This window comes from Homo sapiens, chromosome 5 (assembly GCF_000001405.40).
Source record: "Homo sapiens chromosome 5, GRCh38.p14 Primary Assembly".
Lineage (NCBI taxonomy): Eukaryota > Metazoa > Chordata > Mammalia > Primates > Hominidae > Homo > Homo sapiens.
The window spans coordinates 95,417,849-95,432,400 of record NC_000005.10 but is presented as its reverse complement, the minus strand read 5'-3'; the positions used below and the strand labels follow the sequence as shown (position 1 = coordinate 95,432,400).

At 36.0% G+C, this 14,552-nt stretch overlaps 1 protein-coding gene across 7 annotated transcripts in view; it reads right to left on the bottom strand.

The window, feature by feature from the left end:
- The window catches only part of FAM81B (family with sequence similarity 81 member B), a 59,076-nt gene that overhangs the window by 18,041 nt on the left and 26,483 nt on the right, over window positions 1-14,552 (bottom strand). For 4 of the 7 annotated variants that reach the window (NM_152548.3, XM_011543207.2, XM_047416821.1 and 1 more), the window contains 2 exons: window positions 11,999-12,117; window positions 3,669-3,798 (listed from right to left, as the gene is read on the bottom strand). In NM_152548.3, coding sequence (NP_689761.2) covers window positions 3,669-3,798; window positions 11,999-12,117 — 249 coding nt within the window. Of the gene's footprint in view, window positions 1-3,668; window positions 3,799-8,210; window positions 8,352-11,998; window positions 12,118-14,552 lie in introns of those variants that run through there. The other 3 variants (XM_047416823.1, XM_047416822.1, XM_011543210.3) reach the window with 3 other exon arrangements.

Sequence of the window (14,552 nt, the reverse complement as noted above, 5' to 3'; positions counted from 1 at the left end):
AATTTTTTTATGAAGTCAGTTCAATGGTGATTCCAAAATCTGAAAACGATGGCAGAGAAAATAGGTTAATCTCACTTAAAAGCACTAATGCAAAATTCTTAAGTAAAATGTCAGCAAACATTATCCTGCACCACAACAAAATACATCATAATGAGTGTAATTTATTTTAGAAAATGCAAGGATGGTTTAATAATAGGAAATAATTACACTAGTATAACAGAGAACACATCATTTCATAAATGCTGAAAAGGTATTTGATAAAATTCAATAATCGTTTTTGATTTCTAAAAAATTCAATAATATAGGAATAGTTGGCTACTAAACATGCTTAATGGGGAAACTTACTTTCCCCATCATAAGGGAAACACAGGACAGTTAAAGTTAGGAAGAAGACCAGGATGTCCACTATTCCCACATACTATCTAACATTGTTTGGGGTTATTAGTCAAAGCAATTAGAAAAGAGAGAGAAATTTTGCATATGAAAATGAAAAAACATGAGCTAAAATTATTACCATTTACAGAGCATATGATTGTGTTCTTGGGGAGGAAGGGAAACTAAAAACTTACTATAATCAAGAAGAGAATACACTGTGGAATATAAAATTAATATTGTCTTCATAATATACAACTAACAATGAATTAGAGGGCATATCGAAGCCCCTGTTACAATAAACTAAAAAGAAAAAGATTTCAAAATCTCAAAATACATTTAATAAGAAATTATGCCAAATCTACATGAGAAAAATTTGAAAATACTCCTCAAGAACTTAAAAGCAAACTCAGACAAATGGGAAGCACACTACATTCTTGGATAGAACACTCAACATTATGACTATGTCAATTCTAAAATTTATTTACAAATTTAACATGATTTTAATAAAGATTAAAATAGTTTATTTTTGATTTATTTATTGAAATGAGACAGGCTGATTTTAAAATTATAAGCAAAAACAACTAATTATACCAGGAAACTGAAAAAAGAACGTAGTGGAAGGAACTAGCCCTACCAGATATAAAAATACCATAAAGATTCAATAATTAAAACAGTAGTTAAGACACATATTAGGAAAACTACAAATGGACGAAGGATTTAAGTGTAAACAACAAAGCCATGAAAGTGCCTGAAGAGATATGAAGAATTCTTTCAAGACTTTGTGTAGGGAAGCTCTTTCTAACTGATTTGAAATTCCAGCAGCCACAAAAGAACTGATAAATTCAACTACAACTAGAGAACTATTTGTGCATGTCAAAAACCAAAGACCTATGACAAACTGGGGAAATGCATTTGCAATTTGTGTCATAGAGAAAACAGCTCATCTCCTTACCATATAAAGAGCTCCTAGAGATAGAGAGGAAAAATAGCCCAGTAGAGAAATAGGCAAAAGACATAAACAGATAGTTCACCAAAAAAGAAATACAAATGCCCCTTAAATATGTGAAAAGATGCTCAACTTCATCCATAATAAAAAAGGCTAATTAAAACAAAAAGATACTGCCTTTTTCCTATAAGAATGGCAAAATTCAGAAGTTGAACAATACTGCATTGGTGAGGCAATGGAGACACAGGACATTTTACATATTGTTGGTGGGTGTGCAATGAGGTGAAAGCCATATAGAAAGCAATTTGGCAAGATCTTTCAAAACAACACACATGTACTCTCTCTGCTTAATTCTCTCTGCTTTTATTTATTCTATTTTGATCCTGAAATCCCACTTCTGGATATTTATTCTACAGATATATCTATACGCATACAAAATGACATATGTGCAAGGTTATTCATTGCAGCATTGTTTGAAAGAGCAAAATATTTAAAAGAACCCAAATGTCCATCTATGCAAGAGCAGTTAACTGAACTATTACATACAAAGGAAGGGTATGCAGTTGTAAAAAAAGATAAGGAAGGTCTCTGTGTATCAATATGGAAAGATGTTCAGGATATATTTGTTTAGTTTTTTTTTTTTAAAAGCATAGCTCTATATATATACTATTTATTTACATATACTATATATATATACACTATTTTTGTGCAATAAAGGGGGAATAAAAATATGTATTTGCATTTGCTCATATCTGCATAAGGGCATACTGAATGCATCCACAATTGACTAATAAAAATGCTTACCTGTGAGGATCATGAAAAAAATGTGATGAATGGTTAAGGGGTGGGAATGAAAATTCTCTGGCTATATTTTCTTATGTAGTTTTGTTTTTGAGCTATGTGTATGCATTATCTTTAAAAATATACTAAACAGAGAGGAATTATAGTCCAATGTCACTTTTGAATCCTGATGCCAAATTAAATATTGAATTATTATACAATAACTGTATAGCTTTCATTATAGAAATGCAAGAATGTTTCAGTATTGGGAAATGTATTAACACATTAGAAGGCCAAAGAAGTCAACAAACATCACACAAATCCCCAAACCAAAAAACAACCAATATGGTGGTTCTAGATATTTGTTGATATCTAAAAGGCATTTGATTAAAGTAGATATTCCATCCTGATAAAAACTAAGTAGGAATCACTGGATACTTCCTTAACATGATTAAAAAATATTTCTAACCAATAGCCAGCAGCAAACAGCAAAGACATTTCCAGGATAATCAGGAACCAGATAAGTTGCCTTCTATGACCACTTTTATTTAACAGTATTCTGGAATTTCTGCTCAAGACTTTAAGAAAAGCAATGAAGTCTTAAATCAGAAAACCAGAGATAAAATTGCCATGTTATTGATATGATTGAGTACCTTGAAAAACAAAGAGAGTTTAAAAATTATTGGGCCTAATAAGATGGGTGAGTAGGAGGTAGATAAGGAGAGCCAGATGGGACTAGAGTAAACTATGTGCTCAGTAACACCTGCTCTGGATTAACTGGCGCCTACCAACAAATAATCAAACGCCAGACTTTCATATTTCCAATTTCCAGAGGATGTCTACTTTGTTCTGCCCAAATGACTTCAGAGGAGAAGAGAAGTGCTTGTTTTGCATAAGATGTGACAAAGTGGAGCACAGAAAACTTTGCATTGGGCTCCACTTTAGTGAAACCATTGACTGGGAAGGTGAAAAAGAGACACTTCAGGCAGAAAAGAGCACAAACTAGAGGAAGATGTGTAATATCTTGGTGTGAGTGGGGACCTACCTACAGGGAGCTCAGTATCACTGGGCATAAAGGGTGAGTCAAGAAGCACAGATGGCCTTTAAAATCCAGACCAACCAAAGGACTTACATGTTATTTTGTAAGAGATACAACCCATTGCAGGGCTTTAAGTGGGATGTAACATGAACAATTCACATTTATGTTGGACTTTTAATAATAATAGCTTCCATGGGAAGTTCTTTTGTTTATATTCCTTGGTTCCATAGTCCTTGAGTAAAAATAATTTTACTACTTCCAGAGAGTAAAAAAATAACAGCAATGGTGGACTCAAGCAGTGCATGCTTAGAGTAGATGGCTGTGTTGGAACACGGCAGACATTCATTAAACATTTGTTGATTGAATTGACTGTTTCCATGGCGTATATGAGTGAGCTGTCAGAATTACACCCTTTGGAAGAAAAGAGTTCTCTTAAAAAATTACCACCTGATTGGGCATTTTGATAAGCTATAATGATCTTACTTCTGGCAGTAACACGTAATATGAGTCCCATCTATTTTCAATTACCTTCATGTCCAAGTTCTTGGAAAGAGTTTCCAGGGCGGGCACGAATTCTTGAATGGCTTTCTCAATTTGCCGGTGCTCTTGCCTGAATAAGTGAATGTCTCCAGAAAGCTTCACAATGCTTGAATCACATCTAATGGCAAGATGGAAATTGGTGTGGATCAATACCTTTATAACATTTTTAACACTATAGTAGACACCTGCACATTCATTTGATGGCCAAAGTTCTAAAGTCATTTGAAGAATGAGTTGGTAGATATAGGAGTGTATTCAGGAATCTCTTTCTTCATTTTTCCCTTCTCTTTCTGATGAGAGAGAAACCAGGTTGAATGCATTGGCTCAAACCAGAGCACCAACTTGAAATAGTTTACATGGGGATATTGTGGTAAATTGAGGGAATTTTTACATTTTCAGCTTGATATTAACTTAGTCATAGGAGTTATAGCAAATTTTGATGTTTTGGAAATATACGCTGCTGCCTATGGTTAGGCAAAATTAAAATTTGCTCCTCTTATATATCATGTTCTAAATCCACTTTCCTCTCTTTATCCTCTTTTCTTGGCCCCCAGACTATCAATTCTCCGTTGGCAAGAAAAGGTGTCCCAGCAAATCAAAATCTTCCAATCCATCTTCTCCAATTTCTCACCGTTTTAGCCTCAAACAAAACTCCTGTTCCTTGAATGGTCTCAGTCAGGCACTGTCATATTAGGACAAAACCAATTCACACTAACATATGAATGAAACTTTGGTCCATAAAGTTGCATGTGATAATTTAGGGAAGGAATTCTGGTGAGAAGGAGCTAGTGAGGTAAGCTGAAGATTATCTTCCCAGTATGTTAGGAAAGATAACACACAGAACCACACCCCCACAACTGTTACCCGTGACTCTCTTGGGGGACAGCAGGTTGCACAGTGTATTAATGGTCAGTTTCTGTATACTTTCACATATGCATGAAGGATAGGTTGAAGAGCACTGAAGGACTTTATCTTTTGTATATCTGAGTTATCAAGGATTATTTTGATATTTGTCACTTTTATAAAATAACTGTTTTGACTGTCATCAAATAATATTAATTAGGAAATACATTTTCATATTATTATGCTAAGTGATATAAATATTGTTTGCTTTATGATGTCAACATTTTTAGGATCCCAGAATGAATCTTTTTTCCTTAAAGTTTTTGGTGCAAAAGATTTGAGGCAAAGGTGAGTTAAGATGGCAATTTTGCCTGAGCATTTCTTTAAAAAGATACTAAAGGTATCCCTTTAGTATCACCCTTAAAAATGGTTGTAGTGGGGGTGAAGAAGCTGCTGGGAGAAAAAATTAGGAATTAGTCTGATCAAGAATGGGAGCAGGATGGTACGCACAAAATTCCTGATCAAAAGATGTTTTACACCTTTGCATATACAAACTGTCATTGTCAGAATGGCACCTCTATTGTTGGTTAGTTAGAATGTCCTGATGTGAGTCCATATTAAGACCCCCAAAGACTGCTCAGGAGTGGCTGCTGCTACCACCACTTCCTGCCATCTCCCTTCTATCCTTCTTTTGTTTCCCACCCTCAGGGACAGCAGGGTCTGTGCAGTGGAGGCTACTGGTTAAAAATGTGGTTTCTGGTGTCAGATAGACCATGCTTCTGCTACTTCCTAGGTTTATGATCTGGGAAAAGCTTCTTTTCTTTTTTTTGAGACGGAGTCTTGCTCTATCGCCCAGGCTGGAGTGCAGTGGCACAATCTCGGCTCACTGCAAGCTCCGCCTCCCAGGTTCACGCCATTCTCCTGCCTCACCCTCCCGAGTAGCTAGGACTACAGGCATGCGCCACCACGCCTGGCTAATTTTTTTGTATTTTTAGTAGAGACGGGGTTTCACCGTCTTAGCCAGGATGGTCTCGAGCTCCTGACCTCGTGATCGGCCCGCCTCAGCCTCCCAAAGTGCTGGGATTACAGGCGTGAGCCACCGCGCCCGGCCTGGGACAAGCTTCTTAATGCCTACAGATTTCAGTTTTCCTCATCTGAAAAAAAGGGGAAATGATGCCATGGTCACTGCATACAGTTGTACAACTTGTCTACCACACGACTCCAGGAGTGCCAGAAACACGTGATTGACAATGCGAATAATGTCTCCTGGAGTGCGCAACCTTCAAAACTGTAAGTGGCTGTCCTGAATAGTGTTACTTTGTAGGTTATTTAGGGATGGAAGGAGGTGATGCACGCAAAGCATTTAGCCAGTGCCTGACACGGGGAGTACCCACATAAGATTAGCAGATATGATTTATTTACTCAACTTGAGAGTTGCCGCCTATTCATTTTCACCTCCCCTAACCACCACCCACTAGCCTAATCCCACATGTTGAAGTCAAGGATTGATTCATGGCTTTTCAAAGCTGCACTCTACATTCCAAAAGGAGTTCCTCTGCCTCCTCCTCCTTTAGAATGATTTTATTGTTTCTGTTAAAATAGTACATCACCATTAGAAAAAATTTCATATCATGCCTCAAAGAACAAAGAGGAAAGTTAAGCTCTTTCCAAATCCCTTTTAAAAAGTAACATTATTAATATTTGGTTATCATTCTGTTCATCATTATACATATATACTTAAAATATATGTGTACATATATATATATATATATATATATATATACACACAGAGATAGGAAGAAAACATAATTTAGAATACTGGGATTATATTATATGCATCAACTTTAAAATATTACATTTAATTTTACTTTAACCTAAGAAAAGATAAATGTAGTGAGAAATGAAGAAATTGTTGAGTTTCAGATATGTATTTCTTCACTATGAGAGAGATTTCTAAAAAAAAGAATCTATAAAAAGCTATCATAGATTGGAATTGTTATACTTGTCACAGCTACCATCTCAATACCAACTTTAGATATTATCTGTTGACCATATGCCAAAAAATAAGAAAATAAATAAGTTTATATACTTGTGCCTTCAACATTTAAAAAAAAATTTGCTAATTTTAAAATGTTAAATTTTATGACATTTGCACTGTGTTCTGTCACTAGAATGTCTATGGTTATTTAATGTTCACTTTATATGTAGATTAGATGTTCATTGATAATCCTTTCAAACCATGATTTCTTTTCTAAGATCCTTATTTTGATTTATTCCATGGTTGGCCAGATTTTGTCATCCAGATTTTAAAAGCAGGGCTCAGGAGTACTAGAATTCTCAAGTTCTTGAGTGCTTGAGAATACCTGACTTCTCTTGTGATTGAAAGGTAACTTAGTTGAGATAACATTTTTTTTCTTTCTTTCAGAACATGATAAACATCAATCCATTCTTTTCTAGCATTGGTTGAGGTGGAGAAGTCTGAGGTGATGACATTTCTTTCCTTTTTTATGAGACTTGCTTTGTCTACCTGGATGCTCGTTGCAGTCTTTATCCTTATTGTTCAGCAACTTCAACCAGGATATCTTGGTTTCATTGTTCTTATATCATTTTTTCCATGGTCACAGTTTTTCCTTTTAATCTATAGATTCACATCTGTATTTCAAGAACACTTTCTTCTCTTATAGGCATGATTTTTTTTTTTTTGAAGAATTCGTTCTGTTTCTTCTTCAGGGCCTTCTATTAGTTCTATATTGGATGAGTTTTCCTTGCCTGTCATACGACAATTTTTCTACAATCATTTTTATATTGAAAAGTAACTATCTCTTTTCATTTGGTGTGGTTTACTCATGTTTTTACTTTTTATAACTCATTATTTTTGGTTGCATTTGTTCTATTTTAAGAGCTTCTAAAGTAGATTAATCTTCATAGTATCTTGACTTTTTCTTTCATCTATCCCGAGCAATTCCAGTCTATCTATCTCCTTTTGTTATCTGATAGTCTCTTTTGGAGGGAAATGTTTTTATACCTTACTTTTAAAATTATTATTTATTTTATCAAAGTAAAAGATGCCTGTAATTTGAAAGTTAATAAGCTAATAATAAACTACAGTGGTTTCTGACCCTTCCTCTCACTGCCTCTCTCAGTTCCTCTCCCTAGTGGCAAGGGCCTGAAGCCTTTTGAAAATTCTGTTGCATAAAGTTAGGTTGTTCTCAGCTTATCCTACAACTTGAAAATTGGCTTTCATTCTGCTAAGGCAGTTTTCATGTTTCCATCTGCTTTCTAGGTTCCAAGACTTCTATGCTGGTATCCCTGGTCCTTATGGGTTTATATTTTAAAGAGAAAATCTTTTTACTGTAGATTCAATGGGGCTTTTGGAAGGGCCAAATTACATGTGACTGTTCACAAGTAATCCTTTTTTTTTTTTTTTTTAAATTCTTTGTCTTTTGTTCTTAATTTCGTTGAAACCGGGAGAACTTTTGGCTTGAACTCTTCCTATACTTTTCTGGGCAGTTCCTTCATGAAGTGTATTCACTAGTCTTTTGCTTATGTTTTATGTATCTATTATCTGTCTGTCTGTCTATCATCTATCTGTCTGTCTTCTGTCTATCTGGGGATGATAGTGGAAGTGATTCATATGCATGACTGCATTCTAACAATAACTATTATGTCTTTGAATGTTTCTGCTACCTGCAGAGGATCAGTGAGTGTGTTTGGTGGCTGGTAGATAGCATCCTCTATTCAGGCTTGCAGTATCAAATCTCTCTCCTTCCTCAGCCTGTCGCACTTCAGCCAGTTTCTCTCAGGTATAAGCGGGCAAGGAGGGAGGTCCTAGATGATAGAAATGATAAAGAACACGGTTGCATCCTTGGCTATACCTCCCGGCTGTTTGGTGTTGCTGACCTGAATCTCTAAGGGGACATGTTGTCTTTCTCCGATGACCCACCCGAGCCTCTAAGTAATGCTGCTTGATTCCATTTTGCCAATGTCTCTCAAAATTATGACTGTTGACTAGTGGAAAATCATTATGTTTAAATCTGAGAAGGACTGTATCAGTCCAAATGTCACAATATTTGGTAAGTGTGCTCTGTTTGTGGTCAGTGGTTACAGCAACTTCCATATTATATTAAAGATGGAGTTTTTTGTTTTCCTTCTTTTATTTTTCACTGGCATTGAGTTGTCTCAAGTAAGAGGAGTGGAATAAGAGGTTTTTATTCTGCCCTCTCTGACCAGGCCTGTCATAATATCCACATTATTATGTTTCTTTAAAGAACATGATTTTGCTTTTAATCACAAATCAACAAAATTTATCTTTTTTTTTTTTTTTTTTTTTACCCACATGCAGGTTTGTTCTGGAGTCCTAAAGAGCCAAATGGGGCTAGAGAGTTCGCCTCTGACTGCGGCTACGGATTGTAAGTCATATCCATCCCTAGGGGTGCCCTTCCCATGCTCGCCTTTTCCTTTTTTGCACTTCACCTGAATCTCTAAGGGGACGTGACCTCTCTCTCTGATGACCCACGCAAGCCCCTAGTCTATTAAATAAAGGACAGGGTATCAAAAGCAGGCTGGCAACTTTGGGAGCCTCATCTCATTGGGAGGACTTACTTTTAAACTGCAATGTATTGCCATGGGAAATAAAGTGTAAAATTCAAATCTCATTGTAGTTATTAAATATTGAGACTGATTTATGGAGCAGTAAAATGTTTGCTAGTAATTATGTTAAAACAATCAATTTTACTTATGCCAAAATGCTCATTGGAATAGAGGTCCCTCTATGTGGAAAGACAGTAATCAATCTGCCTTAGCTTGTACATTAGTCATTTGCCTGGCAAAGGCACAGAAAAGAAACAGGAGAGGGAGGGTGAATTTAAGTCTCATGGCCGTTAGCCAAATTCTGTCTCAGATTGCCAAATAGATTTCAGAAATTTTCCATAAAAGGGAGACATTTCAAGGAAAAATAAGACCTTGTCCTAAAATCACTGCTTTTGATTGAAGGGGAAGGTAAGCAAAACGCAAGCAGAGCAAAAAGAATTGCGTATCTTGATGTAATTTCATTGATCTCTTAGTTTCTTTGAGATCCATTTGCTATTTTGTCTTGTAAATAAAACAGGGTTTACAAAAATAAAATAATTGGTTTGTAAGTGGTTTGCAGAAAGAAATAGTTGGTAGGAGTGTCATCAGCATACCACCAAATTGAACCAAATTATATTTCATTTAAAACATGTTTGAAATTAGCCAGTCATGGTGGCGTGCACCTGTAATCCCAGGCACTCAGGAGGCTGAGGCATGATAATTGTTTGAACCTGGGAGGCAGAGGCTGCAGTGAGCCAAGATCGCGCCACTGCACTCCAGCTTGGGTGACAGAGCGAGACTCTGTCTCGAAAAAGAAACAAACAAAGAAACCATGTTTGGTTTTATCTTCTTTGCAGAATCTTGGCACATCTAAATAGGGTTGTGGGTTTGCTGATATTTGTTTTGTTATCTTGTTTCATAACTTACCCAAATGTTATAAAACTTCTTTGGTATTGATAAAATATTAATGAAATAAATATTTCTATATATTATTTATTTATATATTAATATATAATATAAATTCACCTGTTTATTCTCTGGACTGGCTGACAGTTATTTTTTCCTTGGATGAGTGTTTTTCAACCATATGTATTATTTCCAAGACGGCATCTTTTATTTTTAACAGAAATGAAGTCACACTCCAGAACTACAAAGTCTTTCAAGTCTTTCCCAAAGCCACAAAGTCATTTATGTTGTGGGCCAACCAGAAACTTGGGCATCCCTGACACCTCCTCCCTTCCTCCCCTTTTGAGCTCCATGCCCATTCCAGCTAATATTCTGATGGCGTCTCATACACAACATGGTGGAAGCCAAACATTTTATTACTCTGTTTCTCTTTCCACTTCCTTGTTATAATTGCTCCTTGTTTCATATTTTCTTCTCTGTGGCATGACATGAGTATTCAACCAGTCTCCAAGCCCAGAAACTTTGGTCACTATCCTTGACCTCCCCCTGCTTAATTCATCCTCCATGTTTATTCATGCAGTAATCCTGTAGATTCTATTTCTCTAATGTCTGTGTTGTCTGTCCCCTACTCTGGGCTTTCATGGCTAGTGCCTTGGTTTAGGCCCTGCCACTTCTCACCTGGATTGGTACAATAGCCTTCCTCTGATCTCCACAACCTTTTTTTGTATTCTACCAATTCACTGCAACTAGAATGTCACAAAATATGATATGCCACCCCCTTACTTAAAATCCCCCCATGGTCATTTATAACCTTCTACATAAAGTTCGAACTCTTTACCTTAGCCTACAAGACCCCTCATCCTCCAGGTCTGGACTGCTTCTCTGGCTTCCTGTCCCAACTTTCTCAAAATGCCTTCTCCAAAATACCATAACCAAAATGCCATTCTCCCAGGTAGGCCCATGAACATGTCACAGTGATCCTTCCCTCAGTTCTTTTGCACATATTATTCTTCCAGGTAAATTGTCTTTCTCACTTTTCCTTGTCTAGTTAACTGTTATAAATCCTTCAAAACTCAGCTCAAGTGTCACTTCCCCTGGGAAGCCTCTCTTCTGTGTGGGTCTGATTTGGACATTTCCATAGCATCCCAGACTTTTAGTACAGCATTCACTGTATTGGTTATTGATACAGCTTGTTTTTCCTGGTAGACTGTAAACAGCTATAGAAAGGAGACCATGTTGCTGAATTCTAACATTACACGGCCTGGCATAAGATGAGTGCTTAATACATTTTTGTTGAATTAAATGGGTAAATACCCTAAGAGAGCTTTGTCTTAGGTAGTAATTATCTAATTCTTAGGTAGTAATTATCTAATTCCGAGAGGATTAACCAGATGGAGATGGGAGTATTTCAGGAGAGAGGAATGAGGTACTGGCAGAAGATGTAGAGATGGAAAGGTGTCCACAGTCAGCCATTCACAAGTCATCTTTGATGTGTCTGCCAGAGTGGTCCTGCCATTCTCAATACCTACACATATTTGCTGAACTGCATACCATCAATTCTTTTGATTTAGAAATCTTGTACAAAAGATGTTATTCAAAACTTTATCCATTTGGCAGTAAATCCCATTAGACTATTATAATTCTTGTATATTTTAAATGTTTTACTCATTCGCATTTGACACATATGGGGATTTCGTACATGGTTATGAAGGTGCGTCTATGTATGGATGTTGGCATTTGGACGGTTGAGGCTGCAAAGACAGAACTTTGGTCGCTTCCATTGGAATCAAACTGTGTAAGGGGTCTTTACAGAAACTTTGAATCTCACCGCTAGCGTGAGGCATTGAAAGTTCTATGGTACACTTTCTCAAATGCCATCTCATTAGTTTAGCTTAATGTGTAGACAATATCTTTTTTCCACAGCATGGAGCTTGTTTAGGAATGCGAATTCACTGGCCAAGAATTCACTGTTAAACATTAGTCAACATGCTTCTTCTCACCTGGCTACTCTTCCTCGAAGATCTCCAACTCCTTGTAGGTGTTTGATGTTTATCTCGTGTACTGCAAAGTTAGTTCCTGTGGCCGCCTGATCTCGAGCTCTTATTTGGTCTTCTAAAATCTGTAATTTTGAGTCAAATTTCCCATTAATTTCCCATCACACATGATAAGGAAACATCATTTAAAGCAGGGGTTACCTAAATGAATGCATTTTGTAATTAGGCTGATGGTGTGCATGAGTGAGAGAGTCCTATCTCAGAGAGAAGTGATCTCTGCTAATTTATCTGAGGGAAGCAGCAGTGGTTTGATTCTAGGTGATTATTGCCAGGTGGGGAAGATGTCTCAATAGTGTTTTAAAGGAAGCTAGAAATCCAGATTTTATATGAAATTGCTCAAATTAACAATATTGGCATATTATTCAAGATCTTTTGTAAACCATATATGGACCAAACAGAACATGCATTGTGTTGATATGGTCATGGGTTGCCGTTGGCCATCACTGACATAAAAGCTTTTCACAAAAATGTATTTCACAATTGGTGCCATAAGTTTGGAAAAGGATTTTTTTCAATATTGCATCAGGCAAGATTTTTTATGGATTGAACCAGAACCACAATGAAGTTAACACAGCGCAAGCAAGTCTGAATCAACCTGATTCATACACAATGAAAAAGAGTTTATCTAGATTTTTTAGAGAATATGAGAGATTTCTGGCTCATTTGTGTCCAGATTTTGTCCATGAGTGTTGTTAGTCACATCTTTATTGTGTTTTGGTGTTCTGGAAATAGAACTGACTTTCTTGTACCACCAGGCTAGTGGTCCCAAGAACCATGGTTTTTAACTTTTTGTACCCATTTATAAGTATTGATTTAAAAAATTTAAAAAAATTCTGCTTGTCCATAGAAAAAAATTGTATTATACTTGACATTCAAATAAATTCCAATGTAGAGTGAAGACATATAAGAAATTGGTATTTACTAAGAAAAAAAGTGAGAGTTCTGTGTAGGCCTTTGAAAAACACAAATCTGTTACTTGGGGAGACATTCCAGTTTAAGTATTATATTTGACAAAGTCCTAAATTATGTTTAAACTATGGTTATGAATTTTACTAGGAAAGGAAGAATTTTTATAGCAAATAAATTACAAGAATTTCAAAGACCACAGACAGACTCTTGCTCATTTTTTAACTGGGATTGAGACAACCCAAGGGCAAATGAAGCCTTAATTGAAGATGTAAAAGTGTCAAAAACACTAACTAGAGTTTGGTTTTATCTTTTTGCATGTATGCAGGTATTTTGTTTTCTGTTTTGGTAAAGACAGTGATGAAAGGAAACTTACTCTACTATATGCTAAAATATTTTCTAAAATAAGGATAAGTAAATCAGTGTAGTAAAGGTATATAGCTACCTGTAATGTCATGAAGACCTTGGTAAGTGTAGGAAAGGAATATACTCTATATGCAATTCATAAATCAATGGGGGAGTAATTTCACAAGTGGGCTGGGGGCTCTAATTACTCAGAAAATAATTAATTTAGATCCTTACCTCATGTCATATATCATTATAGATTTCAGAAAAAAATAGATCTAAAATATTTTTTAAATTAAGCCATAAAAGTCACAGATAATTGAGGAGATTATTTTGTCTTTGAATGAGGAACTTTCTAGTCTTAGAAGTACAGTAGTCTCCTCTTATCCAAGGGGGATACGTTCTAAGACCCCCAGTGGATGCCCAAAACCTCATATAGTACTGAACCCTATATATATTGTTTCTCCCTATACATACATACCTATGATAAAGTTATTTATCAGTAAGAGATTAACAATATCTAAAAATAGAACTATTATAACAATGTACTATAATATCGTACACACTGTGGCTGTAACTCTTGTAGCTTGAAGTGCGACAGCAAAACTAGCATGAATTTATTTTTCCTTTGTCACAATTTCATGGATAGAAGATTTGTTCTTACCATAGATTTTAGCAAACTCAGCATACAATTTTTTTTTTCCTTATTAAGTCAAGAACTTCAACCTTTTCCCTGAAGAAAGCTCTTTACGGCTTCTCCTTGCCATAGTGGAATTGCCAGCATCACTACTTTTGTGCTTTGGGGAATTATTAAGTAAAATAAGGGTTACCTGAACATGAGCACTGTGATACCTCATCTGAACAGTTGATCTGGTAACCAACAGGCTACTGAGTGACTAATGGGCAGAGAGTATTGACAGTGTGAATGTGCTGGACAAAGGGATGATTCACACCATGGGTGGGATGAAACAGGATGTGCAAAATTTCATCCCGCTACTCAGAACAGCACACGATTGAACACTTATGAATTACTTGGTTCTGGGATCTTCCATTTAATATTTCTGTAAACTTTTGAAATCACAGAAAGTGAAACCACAGATGAAGGTGGGAGGACTGCAATAATGAGAGAAATTACAAAGCAAAATACTTGAATATTTACCTTTGTGTAAAACTTGTAAAGACACTGTAAATACAATTAAGATAGAAAAAGCAAACTGAAAAAACATTTGTAACATATACTATTGCCAAG